Source organism: Homo sapiens, chromosome 4 (genome assembly GCF_000001405.40).
Source record: "Homo sapiens chromosome 4, GRCh38.p14 Primary Assembly".
NCBI classification, from domain to species: Eukaryota; Metazoa; Chordata; class Mammalia; order Primates; family Hominidae; genus Homo; species Homo sapiens.
Window position 1 is genome coordinate 152,969,204 of NC_000004.12, and position 15,588 is coordinate 152,984,791.

Here is a 15,588-nt window from a genome sequence, read left to right on the forward strand (position 1 = left end):
TTGGCACTGGGGAGGAACAGTGTGCTCCTGAGGTTGTGCCAGCTGAAGCCTTCGCTTCTTAATTCAGCTCCTTCAAAATATTATGGCCTTCGGCGGATGCTTGATTTTGTTTGGCTCTGCTGTGAGTTTATTTTTATTATTAAACATGTGCTCTGTATTTTCCTTCAAGTAAAACCAAACTAATTTTCTTGTTACAAACACCACCACCAATACCACAAAAATACTGAACAGTAAACGAATGCATTAAACAAATCCGGAAAATCAAGAATAAGGACCATTGCACATCAAGACTAAAATTCTGGATGTTTCATTCCTCCAAGTTCTCATATTAACTATTACCATCTCAGTCAATATTCACACAGAGAAGCTTAGGATGAAGAACAGCTCTGACTTAGCCTCACCTCTGGACTGCTTTTCATAGTCAGTCTTGTTTTAACCCTTTACACTTCTTTCTGGCAGTCGTTTTTTTTTTTTTTTTTTTCCCGAGACAGAGTCTCACCCTGTCACCCAGGCTGGAGTGCAGTGGCACGATCTCGGCTCACTGCAACCTCCACCTCCTGGGTTCAGGTGAGTCTCCTCCCTCAGCCTCCTGAGCAGCTGAGACTACAGGCGCATGTCACCACACCAGGCTAATTTTTTGTATTTTTAGTAGCGATGGGGTTTCACCGTGTTAGCCAGGATGGTCTCAATCTCCTGACCTCGTGATCCGCCCACCTCCCAAAGTGCTGGGATTGTAGGCATGAGCCACTGCGCCAACCCAGTCATTTTTATCTCTATAAGTAAAACGTTTCATACAGCTGCATACTTTTCTTTCTTAAATTCAACTTCCTTTTGAATAGGTGAGATAAAATTTTTCGAGGTAGGTCAGGGTCAGGGCACTCAGGTCTCTGAACACCAGTCTGAATGCTGGACTCAAACTCTATGCCATAAGAAGTGGGGAACTCTTCAAGGATTCAGAGCAGAAAAATAACAGGAACACATTTTTGCAGATCTATTTCAGCATTTTCACCCTTGGGGTAAGAAATACTGAGTAAACTTGTTTGAAACTTCAGTGTGTAGCAGGCAAGTTAGAGATGTAAGGTTGACTTGGACACTACAGCTGCTAACCTGTTGACATTCTTGCTTTGCCAGTGTAGCTTTGAACTTTTCCATTTCTGGCCCTAATCATGTAGAACTCCTGCCCGGTAACTTCAAGTGTGGTTACTGTTCAGATCCACATTCAGAATGTTTCATTTTCCCAAGTCCAAAGGGTGACTTCAGTGTGTTTAAGATTTTCCTTCCTGGTACTCTGTCAATCCCCACAGGATCTAGAGATGAAACATACGAGGTGGAGCTGAGCTCCCATGTAGATTCTTGTCAAGAGGCCTATTTTTCTGCAGTTGAGCTGTTCTTGGCTGGAATCCATCTTTCCCCCTGTGGAAGAATGACAGGCAAAGATTTATCCTTTCATTAATACCATTCCTCCATAAAGAAAAATACAGCATGAATGCACACACTGCCTTGGGCTACTGACTCAGGTGGTTACTTTCTCTGGTATTTGGTTTCCTACATAGTTTTCGTTTCTTACTACCTCTTGAGTGTGTTTGGTTTAAGAGAAGGGCTTTTAAGGGGGAAAGTGGGTTGGAGTGGGTAATAGGTGGCGTCTTCACAGAATTTCCCTGTAGGTTCTGTAGCTCTCCACACAGGTTCAAACAGCAGTTCTACCCCTCCAAAGTGGGCAACTTTAGCTTTACCATTTCCCAGCCCATCCCCACTTCACTCAAAAAATGTTTTCAAATATAACCTTTTTTAAAAACATGATACATGTGATTTCATAAAGTAACATACTTCATTCATTCCTTCTTCATATAACCATTATTTCCCAGTAAACAAGGAAGCAACATAGGCTAGGCTCAGTGGCTTACCCCTGTAATCCCAGCACTTAGGGAGGCTGAGGTGGGAGGATGGCGTGAGGCCTTCCTGGGAAACATAGGGAAACCCTGTCTCTACAAAATATTTAAATATTAACTGGGTGTAGTGGTGCATAGCTATAGTCCCTGCTACTCAGGAGGCCGAGGTGGGAGGATTGCTTGAGCCCAGGAGGTCAAGGGTGCAGTGAGCCATGATCACACCATTGTACTCCAGCCTGGGTAATGGAGTGAGACCCTGCAGGTCTCAACATAAGACTTCAGTGTGATTCCAAATGTTCATTCTCATGGGCTGTGGCTGCTGTGGAGCCCTTTTTCTCCGCACCATACTGCTTCCTCATGCAGCTCCCCATGTTGTCACTGAACTGCCATCGGGGAAGTGTGTGTGACCCTTGGACATGGCAGATTCCATGCTGAAGGCCTTGGAAATCATTGGAGGAAAACAAGCTTCCTTTCTTCCCATCTCTGTGTTGAGGCAGTACCAGAATGCACAGGGGCCTCAGAGACTTATTTGTCCTAGAAGAATTAGGAGAAAATGAAGAAGCAAAGAGGGTGGTTTTGTAAAGGACAGTAATGCCTAGCCATTGGGACCCATCAGAATCTCCTGGGGTGGTGCTTTCAGAAAATATTAGTGTTGGGTCCACCCCAAACCTGTGAAATCGAACGGGAGGAATACAGGCATGGCCTGTTGCCAAGCTTCCCAGCTGACTTGGATCAGCACCCCGGGTTTAGGCACGAGGGTTTTGGTCCTGTGGGGGTGACCCTGACCCTCACAGAGCTCATTTGGGATTAAGCTTAGACACCCTCTCAGTGGGGCAAAATTGATAATGCATCAGTAGAGCGAGTAGCTTCAGGGACCCTAAAGTAAACTCTTGACCAGTGTAAGACTCAATTTTAAGAGGAAGAAGAACAGATGCAAAATGGATCTTCCTTGGTAAAAACCAGTTGTATACCTGTGTAATTTTTTTCAGTGACATTAAAAGTGAACATTTTGTTAGTGACGTTCTGCAGGTTAAAGTTCTTAAATCTATCTTGTTGCTTAGTCTAGGTCTCACACGGGACTTCACCTTGCTTTCCCCGAGGTTTGTTCTGGGTTGAATTATTTTCCTTTTGGCTCTGATTGCATTGGCCTTGCAATAAACCTTCCTTTTCCAAGACCTGAAATGAAACCCCAGAGCACGTCTTCTCTGGGCACCGGATGCAGTGCCCAGCGCCGCCTCAGCTGACAACGTTTACCTCAGTGTGTGTTCGTTTGTTTTTCCGCAGTTTGCCATAGAAAAGCTGAGGGAACTGGAATGCTGGAAACAAGAGCTCCAGGATGAGGCCTACACCCTTATAGATTTTTTCTGTGAAGACAAAAAAACCATGAAACTGGATGAATGCTTTCAGATATTTAGAGATTTCTGTACCAAATTCAACAAAGCAGTTAAGGTACATCTGGCAGCATCTGTGTCTTGGGGTTGTTTGGATTTTTATTTTCCTTCTTCTCGACCTAGTCATCTGCTCACCACAGAAAGGCACTTTGCATCTCCACGGTTTCGGGGACATCTGGCCCAGGTGGTATTGCCAGGCTCTCGGCTGGGATTGCTGGAAAGTGGCTCTGCCATCCCAGCCCCGAGGGCTTGCATAGCATCAGGGGGAGGCATTTGACTGCCTCTGCTACTTTGGTGCACAGGCTCCCTGACACTCACATTAATGCCTTGAGAGCATTTTGTTAGTAAAGTTCCTCCATGATGGCTGTCATACCATTTAAAAGTCTCTTGAAGATCCTGAATGTCTTTCTCTCCCGCTCCCAGAAGAGAACGTCCTCTTCCAGGGAGACTTCTGTTGTGGTGGGATGATGGAACGGCCCTCCCTTTCCCTTCTTCCAAGCTCTGCTGCCGTCACTGTGGGATTGGCACCAGGGCAACCATGTGGTCCTCCCCAGAGCGGTCTTCCAGATTCCCAAATAACCACAAAGCCTGCTGCCATACTGAGCAAGACAGCTACCTTTCTTGCCCTTCAACCACCAATTCCAGTCATCTCTGGGTTTAATGTAGAAGCCAGAAAACTCTCTGGGTTGCTTGGCTTTCAAGTAAAACTTTAATTCATCAATTGAAAGCAAACCGGCCACTCACATCCCTTCATTTCGGGTGGTGTTGAGGAAGCAAAGCTCGTGAGTCATCTCTCCCCCTCCAGTTGGAATGCAGCTTAGTCCATAGCTGAATTTCTTTGAGGGATTGGTCAGATTTCTCTCAAGCCCAGAATTGCTTTGTGTTCTCGACCCCTCCTTTCTCTATCCAGTTAAGAGAAGGAGGCTCAGCCTGTGGCCACGTTTGCACTCCTCTGGCCAAGAAGTGAGCTCAGCTGTGGGAGGCAGTGGTGGGTGTCAAGGCCAAGTTGGCTCTTAATGAGGCCCTCACTCCCAGGAATTCCATAGGCCTGTGAGGCCACCTGTGTGATGCTCTCAGCCCCACTGTCCAAAGAGCCAGGCACCGGCCCCACCACCACCACAGGCAATCTTTAAAGAAGGCCCGAGAGACTTGGGGACGAGGTGGGAGGCTGAGGCCAGAGCTGCAGGCGGAGCCAAGAGTCCCCGGCTAGAGCCCCACAGAAACTTGGAAGGGAAAGGCCATCATTGGAGGAAATTGATTGTCAAGTAAAACTGCTAACAATAACACATTTGGGCTGTGAGATCCACATATTTCCATGACACAAATCTATTTAAAGTGCATGGCCAGGTGGTAGAGTGTGCTTTGGTATGTGAGCTTGCTCTGGTGCAGTTTCGATGGGAAGGGCTGGGTTCTCTGGAGCAGGGTGAAGGTTGAAAGATTTGTAAAGCACACCTCCTCCTCTTCCTCTTCTCTGATTGTGGGAACAGGCTAGGACGTGAGAGGCAGAGCCATGTGCTGCAGGCTGCAGCTGGCAGAGCCACCATGCCACGTGTGGTGTTGCTTTACCAAGGAGCAGTCAGGGAACAGAGCTGAACAGAGCATCTCTTAATATTGTGGCTATACATTAATACATCCAAATCACTGTTAAGTAGAATGTGCTACACATGAATGTGTGTAGGACAGATCCATGCTGCACAGAAGTACAATTTGAGGCTCGCTCTTTAAATACCCACAGTATTTTTCTCAGCTATTGCCTATATAGCCCTTTCCTGGAAGTCCTCTGTGTCTTATACTGCTCAGAAACAGAGTTGGCTTTCCTTGGAGTTGAGGTCGCATGCTTATGTGGAATGGCAGCCTCCACTGAGCAGTGCCTTGGCTGGAAAGCTGGAAGTTGGGCCCAAGGATCGGATAAAAACTGTAGACAGATTGTTGGGCCAGGTCTACAGCACTCACCCCTTCTGCTCAGATCCCTAGTAGCTTTGAAGAGCCTCACCCTCCCTCTACACACACACACATGCGTACACACACACACATGCATGTGCACACACACAGCCTCTTTCTCAGTGTAAGACATGACCCTGAGCTCCCCTCCATGCCTGTATCTTTCTTTGGCTCTTAGCGTAGGTGGCTCTGGAACTGCACATTGGTCCCACATGTCTCATGCATCTTCGGGCTTCTCTCCATCCCTCAGGACAACCACGACCGGGAGGCGCAGGAGCTGAGGCAGCTGCAGAGGCTGAAGGAGCAGGAGCAGAAGCAGCGCTCCTGGGCAACTGGGGAGCTGGGGGCATTTGGCCGGAGCAGCAGTGAGAATGATGTGGAGCTGCTGACCAAGAAGGGTGCAGAGGGCCTGCTCCCTTTCCTGCACCCCAGGCCCATCAGCCCCTCCAGCCCCTCCTACCGGCCCCCGAACACCCGCCGCTCCCGCCTCTCCCTGGGTCCCTCTGCTGACCGGGAGCTGCTGACCTTCTTGGAGAGCTCCACCGGCAGCCCTGAGGAGCCCAATAAGTTCCACAGCCTGCCCCGGAGCAGCCCCCGGCAGGCCCGGCCCACGATAGCCTGCCTGGAGCCTGCAGAAGTGAGGCACCAGGACTCCAGCTTTGCACACAAACCTCAGGCCTCGGGGGGCCAGGAGGAGGCCCCCAACCCACCCTCAGCACAGGCGCACCAGCTTGCAGCCGCCCAGCCTGAGAACCATGCCTCTGCCTTCCCCAGAGCTCGGCGCCAGGGCGTCAGTGTCCTCCGAAAGAGGTACAGTGAGCCGGTGAGCCTGGGCTCAGCACAGTCCCCTCCTCTCTCGCCATTGGCTCTGGGAATTAAGGAGCATGAGCTGGTGACAGGGCTGGCCCAGTTCAACCTCCAGGGTTCCCAGGGCATGGAGGAGACCTCCCAGCTGACTCTGAGTGACTTCAGCCCGATGGAGCTAGAGTCTGTGGGGCATAGGGGCCCGCAGTCCCTCAGTGCCAGCAGCAGCAGCCTGACACCCATGGGCAGAGATGCCCTGGGGAGTCTCAGCCCAGCGCTGGAGGATGGCAAGGCTGCCCCCGATGAGCCTGGAAGTGCAGCTTTGGGATCTGTGGGTAGCAGCGACCCTGAGAACAAAGATCCTAGACCTCTGTTCTGCATCTCGGACACCACCGACTGCTCACTGACCCTGGACTGCTCAGAGGGAACCGACTCCAGACCCAGAGGCGGGGACCCGGAGGAAGGCGGGGAAGGGGATGGCTCCATGTCCTCTGGGGTTGGAGAAATGGGGGACAGCCAAGTCTCCTCCAACCCTACATCCAGCCCCCCTGGGGAGGCTCCTGCCCCCGTCTCTGTGGATAGTGAGCCCAGCTGCAAGGGCGGCCTGCCCAGGGACAAACCCACCAAAAGGAAAGATGTTGTAGCACCAAAGAGAGGCTCCCTGAAAGAGGCGTCTCCCGGGGCCTCCAAGCCCGGGAGCGCCCGGCGGAGCCAGGGGGCAGTGGCCAAGTCTGTGCGGACCCTGACCGCCTCAGAGAACGAGAGCATGCGCAAGGTCATGCCCATCACCAAGTCCAGCAGAGGCGCCGGCTGGAGGCGACCAGAGCTGTCATCCCGGGGGCCCTCCCAGAATCCCCCCAGCAGCACAGATACTGTGTGGTCACGCCAGAACTCCGTGCGGAGGGCCTCCACAGGCGCCGAAGAGCAGAGGCTGCCGCGGGGGAGCAGCGGCTCCAGCAGCACCCGTCCGGGGAGGGACGTTCCCCTGCAGCCCAGGGGTTCTTTCAAGAAGCCCAGTGCCAAACCACTCAGGAACCTCCCCAGACAGAAGCCTGAGGAAAATAAGACCTGCCGCGCCCACTCCGAGGGCCCTGAGAGTCCCAAAGAAGAGCCCAAGACCCCGTCAGTGCCCAGCGTCCCCCACGAACTACCCCGTGTCCCGAGCTTTGCCCGGAACACAGTGGCCTCCTCCTCTCGAAGCATGAGAACAGATCTTCCTCCCGTGGCCAAAGCCCCCGGCATCACTCGGACAGTGTCGCAGCGGCAGCTGAGGGTGAAAGGGGACCCCGAGGATGCCGCTCCCAAGGACAGCAGCACTTTGAGGCGAGCCAGCAGTGCCCGGGCCCCCAAGAAGCGCCCAGAGTCTGCGGAGGGTCCCAGTGCCAACACGGAGGCCCCTCTGAAGGCCAGAGGGGCTGGGGAAAGGGCCTCCCTCCGTCGGAAGGACTCCAGTCGGACCACGCTGGGGAGAATCCTCAATCCCTTACGGAAGTGATGGGTGCCTGTCCTCTCCTGCCTCCTGGGATTCAGACGGTGAAGACTGACTTCTGGGACGAGGATGGGGAAAGAGGCAGCATGTCTTTGTTACAGATAAAGCAGCCACTGGTGCCACTGCTAGTGACGCTGTTGGGATGGCACAGTCCAGGAGGCCTGTGGACTGCAGCCTGCTGTGCTGAGCCCTGCTGCAGTCCAGCGTCCAGATGGATGCACGTTCACTACTGTGACGGCCGCACCTCCCCCATGCACCCCACCCTCCCCCAAAGCCCGGATCCCGAGAAAGATTTAGTAGGAGTGTAAAGTGACATTCTTATGAAACAAGTCAAAAAAGTTTTTTTCAGGCCAGTTTTTATATATCAAAGACTTTCTTTTTAATATAAAAATTAGCTAGGTGCAGTGGTTCATGCCTGTAATCCAGCACTTTGGGAGGCTAAGATGAGTGGATTGCTTGAGCCTAGGAGTTCGAGACCAGCCTAGGCAACATGGAGAAACCCCGTCTCTATCAGAAATACAAAATTTAGCCGAGTGTGGTGGCACATGCCTGTGGCCCCAGCCACTCTGAACGCTGAGATGGGAAGGTCACTTGAGCCCAGGACCCCACCACTGCACTCCAGCCTGGATGACAGAGTGAGACCTTGTCTCAAACAAAACAAAACAAAAATGAAATGTTCTAGTTTTGGTTCCTTTTGCAGAGTGAAATGCCTCCCAGGAAAAAAATACATATGTATTTTTTTGCGACAGGGTCGTGCTCTTGTCTCCCAGACTGGACTGCAGTGGCACAATCATAGCTCACTGCAGCTTTGACCTCCCAGACCCAAGTGATCCTCCCACCTCAGCCTCCCTCAGAGCTGGGACTACAGGCGTGCACCACCACGCCTGGTTAATTGTTTTTTTTTAATTTATCTTTTGTAGAGATGGGATCTCACTATGTTGCTCAGGCTGATCTCGAGCTCCTGGGCTCAAGTGATCCTCCCACCTCAGCCTCCCAAAGTGCTGGGATTACAGGTGTGAGCCACCACACTTGGCCAGTATATCCTCAGTATGAAGATATTTTTATCTTCCTGTGTTCTCTGGCTTCAGAGTTTCACCTGCCCACACAGGGTCCGTTGCTGGCAACTGGACTTCCCCATAAGCCTTGGGTATCCTGTGATGGGCTGTGTCTCCCTGAAGATTGTCTGGCTTGCCCACTTCTCCGTGCATGACTCTGGGTGTGAGTCTGTCTAGGAACAGGAGGGAAAGTTGGACTCAGACAGAAATCAGATGCTTCCATGTATTCAGGGCGCGCATTGTGAGCAGTGGAGTATGAGCCTTGAGGGCCTCATGGTTGCAGGGCAGGCTTCCCTGCAGATGGGTGGCAGCCCCTGGTAGAATGCTGGATTTCTCTGGAATCTAGAAGTGCCATATTTTAGTGGAAAGGCATCAGGGCTGTTTGACAGTGTGCGTCTTTCCAATCCCATGTTCCTCCATTCGTGTGTCTGTTATAAAACTGAGTGAAGGCTGCTATGACCTGTGTTCACTCTGGTTACAGGGAGGTGCAAACCATTCTGTCTCCCAGCCTTTCTTCTCTCTTTGTGTGCTCCCAGCACTTCCTTCTTTTCTAACATGGCCTGGAGAGAGTCTCTCTCTCCTTGTCTCTGTCTCTTAATAATAGTTTTTAACGTGGACATCTCTTCCTTGGTACAGTGGTTTTTAAATACTGAGAAGAACCAAGTCAGGTTTTTTAAAGCAGACTAAAAGCATGAAATTGCTTTCAGAAGAATGTATATCATCGGGAAAAGTTCGGGGGCAGAGTGGGGGAATCAGGCTTTATTCAAAAGAAACAGTTGAAAACATGGGACTTTTTCTACCCAATGCCCATTTCACGACTCCTCTGAGACTAATTGGGAAACGGGGAAATTCTTGGAATTTTTTTTTTAAGAAACTTTTTTGTGTTTTTTTTAATTTTAGGTCACTTATTAGTGAAACCTCATTTTAGATCTGACATTGGTAGATAGATGGATTTAGGCAAATATGATGCGTTTGTGGGGAATCCACGTGGTTGACGTTAGAACCTCCCTTCTGCAGACTGTTGCCTGTCATCTAAGCGAATTGGAAATGCTGAGCTTCCATAAGTCAGCTGAGTTTTAAAGGTAAACGTTATGGCTGAAATAGTAAAGCACCTGACCACAAAACCTCTTGTAAAAACAGCCCTGAGTAGGTATTTCCAGGGCTCCACAAAGTTGCTTATGGGAATCCTGAGCTGCTTTTCACCATCTCAAGAAGCCTAAGAAGTTATATATTTAATCAGGTAGACAAAACAGTTCAAAGCATAAGGTCCATGGTGGTGGAAAATGGATGCAAGTGATTCTAAGTTTGTGGATTTGTGGATAGCAGAGGGATCGGGACCTCTTGGAGGAACCCTGGGTACCAAGCTCCCAGGCCCTTCCTCTATCATGGATGCTGGGTGACTTTGGGAAGTCACCACCTCTTCCCAAGCCTGTTTCCCATATCACAGATGTGGGGCCATGGCCTCGATGATGGTCTCCACAGGTCTTTCCACCTCTGTGAGTCCAAGTCAGGTCAATCAGCAAGGACCCATCTCTGCCCTGGGTCAGCTCCTCAGAACCAACCCCCAGCATCTCTAAAGCAAAAGCCTCACCTCAAGGGCTGCTCAGAAGAGAGCACCTTCAGCATGAGTTGTTGCTGGAAGATCTAATAAGCTGTGTTTCCTGGGAAGTGGTGCTTTACTTAGCCCTGTGGACAACTTCTCTATGCATCTGTGTGAGCAGATGATCATTGTATTACCTTTTATCGGTAGTAAGCTTGGAAAAATAATTTAAGAATACAATGGAGAAATGTAAATAAGTATCTATGTAAATTTGTTTAAAATAAACTGAATGTATTTAATGGTCCATTTATATGTTCTTTTATGTAACATGTAGTTTAATAAAGTTCCTGTTTATGAGAGTCATGTTTCATCTCAGCTTCTTCCATGGATGTGTCTGTGTGATCTTGCTGGGAGAGTATTCAATTTCCTGCCCAGAGAGAAGCAGAGATCCAGGAGGCTAGGGAGGGTTGGGATACAGCTGACTTGTCCTCCAAAGGCTCAAGAGCCTAAATGAGGCTGTTGGCTGTGTGTCTTCTTGATAGCACAGAACCTGCTCATAATTGAGGGCTTAGGGAGTGGGCCTTGCCCCAGGCCGTGGGGATGTAACCCCGCCTCTGACACGCAGGCTGTCGATGAAGTGCGCAGCTCACGTTATTCCATGCTGAGCTGAGTTTTTTGTCATCTCCGTGGGCCTGGCAAGTCTAAATGGTGTCCTGGGTGTCCTGCATTTTGGTTCAGGACACCATTAGGAAATCACAACTCACCTCATGGCTGACTCAGGAATGAGCAGAGAGGAGGGAGAGATGGCTTGATATGACCGGCATTGTGCATATTTGAAAAGGAGTGGCGATTGTGCCTCAGATACACCTCATACCTCGGATTATGTCATGTTTCAGTCCTAGCTACTTGCCTGCTTTATCTGAAGTGGGCTAGAGGAACATCCCTGGGTCAGAATCAGCAGATGAGAGTAAATTATGTTCTTGTTGGGAGTTGCTGCTTGCTCCCTGAACATGTGGAAGTTGGTCTTGTCTGTGTTATAAGCAGTTTGGGACACCAGACTCCTCCCTAAACCTTCAGTCCTGCTGCTCAAGGGATTACTGACATGTACTGCCCCCGTCCCCCCACCAAGAAAGCTTTTTATTTTTCTAATGGGTCTCAAGTAATCTTCCATTTCTCCTTCCCTTTTATTTTATGGCTTTCATAAAGAATCTGTGGCTTCATCCTCCTAAAGAAATTCATTAAATTAAAGGGGCCACCATCTCCTAATTGTTCATTCAAGACTGCATATTTATGTGTTAGGGTGAGGGACCCCAGAAGACTTTGGAAGAACTATTAATCCACCTTCGGGGGTGTGTACATTTGTGAATTTCTGCCTCTAAGGGTGCAGTATCCTTTCCCTAGCTCCCCCCGTATGGCAATGATGACATTTTGCAATTTTACAGAATTTTCCATTGAAACTTAAACTTAATTCATCATTATATTTTTGCTGCATGCTCCAACCCTGTCAGAAAAATAGAAGAGAGAATTTTTTTGGTGCGTGTCCCCAAACACATATAATCATCAAATGTATAAACCAAATTTGAATAAAGGACATTGCATCTGATCACTCATTAAGTGCTGCTTAAAATTATTTGGGCTGTGAGCACAAACAAACTGGGGCACCGGGGTCTCTGCAAAATCACCCTGCTCAGCATCTGTGGGGAAAGAATGCATAGCTCAGGCCGAATCTGCGGCAGGGTGGAAAACACAACCCAGAGCACCCGCTCCTCAGGGCTTTTCGTCCACTAATATCTCCCGGTTTGGATGTCCCACAGCTCACTGGATCTCCTAAGTGAAGACAAGAGTAACGTGGTAGTTGAAGAAAACGGCTTTTCTGTCTGCTGGGCCAGAGCTCTGCAATGGGGCTTTTGGCTTCCTGATTGGTAGGTAGGACAATTGGACTGGCCGCAAGCAGCATTCATAGTTGTTCATTCACAGACCCTTTACCAAGGGCCCACCAGAAGCCTGACATCCCTGACTATGAGCTGTGGAGGGAGGCACCTGGGCGTTTCAGGGAGGATGCCTATTCCAGGTTCTCACTGATGGAGTCGTGCCAGGCTCCTGGAGTCAGGTCCTGGGCTTTCCCCTGCCCCCGTCAGAAACACACTAAAGGGCTGAGTCATGCAGGCAGTCCCCAGCTCACAAGCAGAGGATGTTCCCCAAGTTTGCTTGCGGTGAGATTTGAGGATTTCAGAATGCCCTTTCCCAGAGCAACCATGTCATGCATTATGGGTATGTTTTCAGGATAGCACATTAGAAAACTATTTAACCTGTCCGCTGTGGTCTGAATGTTTGCTCCCCCTCAAATTCCTGTGTTGAAATCCTAACCCCCAAGGAGGTAGGATTAGGAGGTGGGGCTTTTGGGGAGTGATTAGGTCATGACCTGGAGCCCTCATGAATGGGATTAATGCCCTTATAAAGAAGGCCCGAGGACGCGCAAGCATCCCTTCCACCATGTGAGGACACAGCAAGAAGTGACCGTCCGTGAACGGGTTCTCACCAAACATTGGGTTTGTCAGTGCTCTGATCTTAAACTTCCCAGCCTCTAGAACTGTGAAAAATACATTTCTGTTGTTTGTAAGACCTTAGGTCTATGGTATTCTGTTATAGCAGCCCAGGCGGCCTAAGACGCCAGGTGTGGGTAGATTACACCACAGGAATTTCTACAGAAGAGAAGCTCACTTACAGCAGTGTTCCTGAAGGAAAAGGTCAGGAGTGCCGGGAATGTTTCTCTTCTACCTCCTGCCATCAAGTGGAGGTGAAGGCACTGCAGCTTCAGGGCACTGGTGACCGGAGGAGTGGTGTCCACTCTCCACTGCTGGAGAAGAAAAGATCTCTCTGCTCTTGAGGTGGGGCTGAATGCAGAGGCAGACACAGGGGTTTCCATCTCCCAGGACAACTCCAGGAAACATGGGTCATTTCTATAACTGCAATTGCCTTTTGGCTGTTCTTCCTAACAGAGAGCACACTGGGCCAACAGAAGGGTGCACATCCTCTGCCTTCATTTTCTGGGAGGGAGGCTGGATTCAGCCTAGCCTGCTAGACAACTAATGAGAAGGTGGCAGAGGCTGTGGGGAGGCCACCTGTGTGGCCAGGGCCGTGGACCCATGAGCCAAGGCTAGCTGGTAGCTGGGGAAGTGAGCCACCTTGGTGAGAGCTGGGATGTTCACTGCAGGTGGTGAGCTTTCCTCGGTGCTCCTGACTTGACAGTGTTGGAGCATCCAGTGGCACTCACAGCATGGAGTGCTCCTGCGCACAGCAGAATTACTTGGGGGTGGTGATTCCTAGTCCCACCCCAGACTCACAAGCCAGAATCTTTCTGATGGGCCCCCAGATTTTCACTTTAGCAATTTTCCACTGATTCATTTTCCCTTCTGCTGTTGAGACCCACTAAGCTGGAGAGAGGCAAGAAGGCAGACTGGTAAGAATTCCACGATTCCCATGCAGGCTAATGAGCTGTTCTCCATGCTGGACCCCTCTTAGAGCCTCTGTCCAGGCAATGTAGGTGTGTTTCACTCTGAGCAAGCAAGACAGAAGCATTTACTCTGAGCTCAGCATCCGATTAAGAGGAGAGCTGCCTCAAAGGAGTCTGGGGAGCTGGTCTAACTTAGATCTTAAAACATAAAGACTTGCAGTCATATGCATGGCCACCGAGAGTCTGGAGCTCTCAGTCACACAACATTAGAGCTTCCATAACAATGGCTCCTGGGGGAACATTGGAAGTGACACTTCACTAGCATCTTGCCATAGCTGCCCTTTGGACAGATTATAATTTAGTGTATGTGAAGCATTTTACTAACAAGTGCTGAACAATGCCACACCCCTGTCTGAGTACCCCAGTAAGAATTTTTTCAGCAAAGCTATTCTTTGGAACCCTGTTCCCTGGACTTCATGGGTGTTGGAGCTTTCCACAGCCTTCACGAGGATCACTTCAACTTGGGCCTTGGGAGCCCCATCTAGCAGCTTTGGTTCCTTCCCTCTTGCTCTGTGCTGGGGCCAGGCAGGCCGGCCGGCATCTGCCCTGACCTCACCGGTCAGGAAGGGGGTGGGATGCAGCTCTCCAGGGTGCTGACTCAGAATGCAGGCAGAAGAAGGGATGCGGCAAGACAGGCTCCCACCCTATTTTAGGATGTGGAAACCCTCCCCGGAAGAAGGACTGAGCCTGATTCTTTCCAAAGTGGCCAGCATAGAATAATTGACCATTTTCCCACTCCCGTGCTGTCAATGGCTGCTCATCAGTCTGACAAGGTTGTTGGAAGAATCTGGACAGTCTTGCTACGTTCAGGGACGGTCTTGCTAGCCTAGGCAAGTGCTGAAGAAGGGTTTGAGCTATATTTGAATGAAAACGATAGTTCAGCCAGGCTCAGTGGTACACGCCTGTAATCCTAGCTACTTGGAGCCCAGGAGTCTGAGACCAGCCTGGGAAACCTAGTGAGACCCCATCTAAAAAAAAAAAAAAGAAAAAAAAGAAAATGATGATTCAGCTTTGGAAGCTGCCTCAGCAGAAAGAACAGTGCCTCCATTCAGCTATGGCTGAGTGGAGCCGTCAGCTTCCCATTGGCTTTATTTCCTTCTTTCCCAAGGCACAAGAGGTTCCCACCAGCTGATTCATCCCCAGGGAGGAGAGGGAAGAGGTGGGCTCCCTGCAGGGCAGGCTTCTTCACCACTGCTGAGAGACAGAGGCAGCAGAACAGCTTCCCCACCCCCACAGGGCCTCCTACTCCCAAGTTCAAGATCGACTCCAATACAATAGAACTGGAGTCACTAGATAAGCAGCGGGGTAAAGTGTCTAATTGTTCTCAGCTCTTTCTCAAGCCCCTGCTTTTCTCAACCAGCTCACAATGGGTTGAACTCTGGCTGGAGCTTGTCTTCCAAGAAGCTCGTGGCTTTGCACACAGTTACTCACCACATTCCTGCTGTCCTAGTGACCAAGCAGGAGGTGAAACGTCATTCCCATTTGTCAAATATCATTCCCACTTGTCAAACATCATTCCCACTTGTCAGGGAGGAATTCCTTCCAGGAGTTGTGAAGGGGGAACTTGTGAACCAGTGGTTCCGTGTGGCTAGCATTGGCAATGTTCCTGGAACGATAGCACCAGAATGAGGCCCACCTGGTCACTGGACACTGTCCTCAGCCCTGGAACCTCCCTTTCAGGAGGAACCTTGATGAGCTGGAGTAAGACGAGGAGAATGACCAGGCAGTCAGAGTGTGGGCACCATGCTTCACGGTGAGCAACTGAGGCTGCCAAGACCATTTAAGCTTAAAAAAGGCTAATAAGAACCTAGTGGTGTTATTAATCTTATTCTGTGTTGTTCCAAAACACAACAGAGATAAATCCTCAGGGTCAGGATGAGTTCATGCCAAAGCTGCACATCTACCTACCTCCCTGGGCTGGAGGCCTCAAAGCCCCTTCCACTGGGATACTTGAACTTGTGAAAT

The 15,588-nt window shown here is 50.0% G+C and overlaps 1 protein-coding gene across 6 annotated transcripts in view, besides 3 other annotated features; it reads left to right on the plus strand.

The window, feature by feature from the left end:
* FHDC1 (FH2 domain containing 1) overlaps positions 1 to 10,468 on the plus strand; it is a 68,333-nt gene extending 57,865 nt beyond the window's left edge. For all 6 annotated transcript variants that reach the window (XM_047416336.1, XM_011532389.2, NM_001371116.1 and 3 more), the window contains 2 exons: positions 3,174 to 3,338; positions 5,472 to 10,468. In XM_047416336.1, the coding sequence (XP_047272292.1) occupies positions 3,174 to 3,338; positions 5,472 to 7,520 (2,214 nt within the window). In that variant the 3' untranslated portion in view covers positions 7,521 to 10,468. The remainder of the gene's footprint in view (positions 1 to 3,173; positions 3,339 to 5,471) is intronic.
* Positions 2,565 to 3,764: an enhancer, noted in NCBI's record as "BRD4-independent group 4 enhancer chr4:153892920-153894119 (GRCh37/hg19 assembly coordinates)". NCBI's record gives its function as "activates an origin of replication core promoter dependent on BRD2, P300/CBP, MED14 and CDK7 cofactors, and independent of BRD4, by STARR-seq in HCT116 cells {active_cell/tissue: HCT116}" and the evidence as "EXISTENCE:reporter gene assay evidence [ECO:0000049][PMID:35650434]".
* Positions 3,853 to 4,373: an enhancer, noted in NCBI's record as "H3K4me1 hESC enhancer chr4:153894208-153894728 (GRCh37/hg19 assembly coordinates)". NCBI's record gives its function as "activates a minimal SCP1, AML or CMV promoter by ChIP-STARR-seq in naive H9 embryonic stem cells {active_cell/tissue: H9 hESC(naive)}" and the evidence as "EXISTENCE:reporter gene assay evidence [ECO:0000049][PMID:30033119]".
* Positions 4,374 to 4,893: an enhancer, noted in NCBI's record as "H3K4me1 hESC enhancer chr4:153894729-153895248 (GRCh37/hg19 assembly coordinates)". NCBI's record gives its function as "activates a minimal SCP1, AML or CMV promoter by ChIP-STARR-seq in naive H9 embryonic stem cells {active_cell/tissue: H9 hESC(naive)}" and the evidence as "EXISTENCE:reporter gene assay evidence [ECO:0000049][PMID:30033119]".
* Positions 10,469 to 15,588: the final 5,120 nt, after the last annotated feature.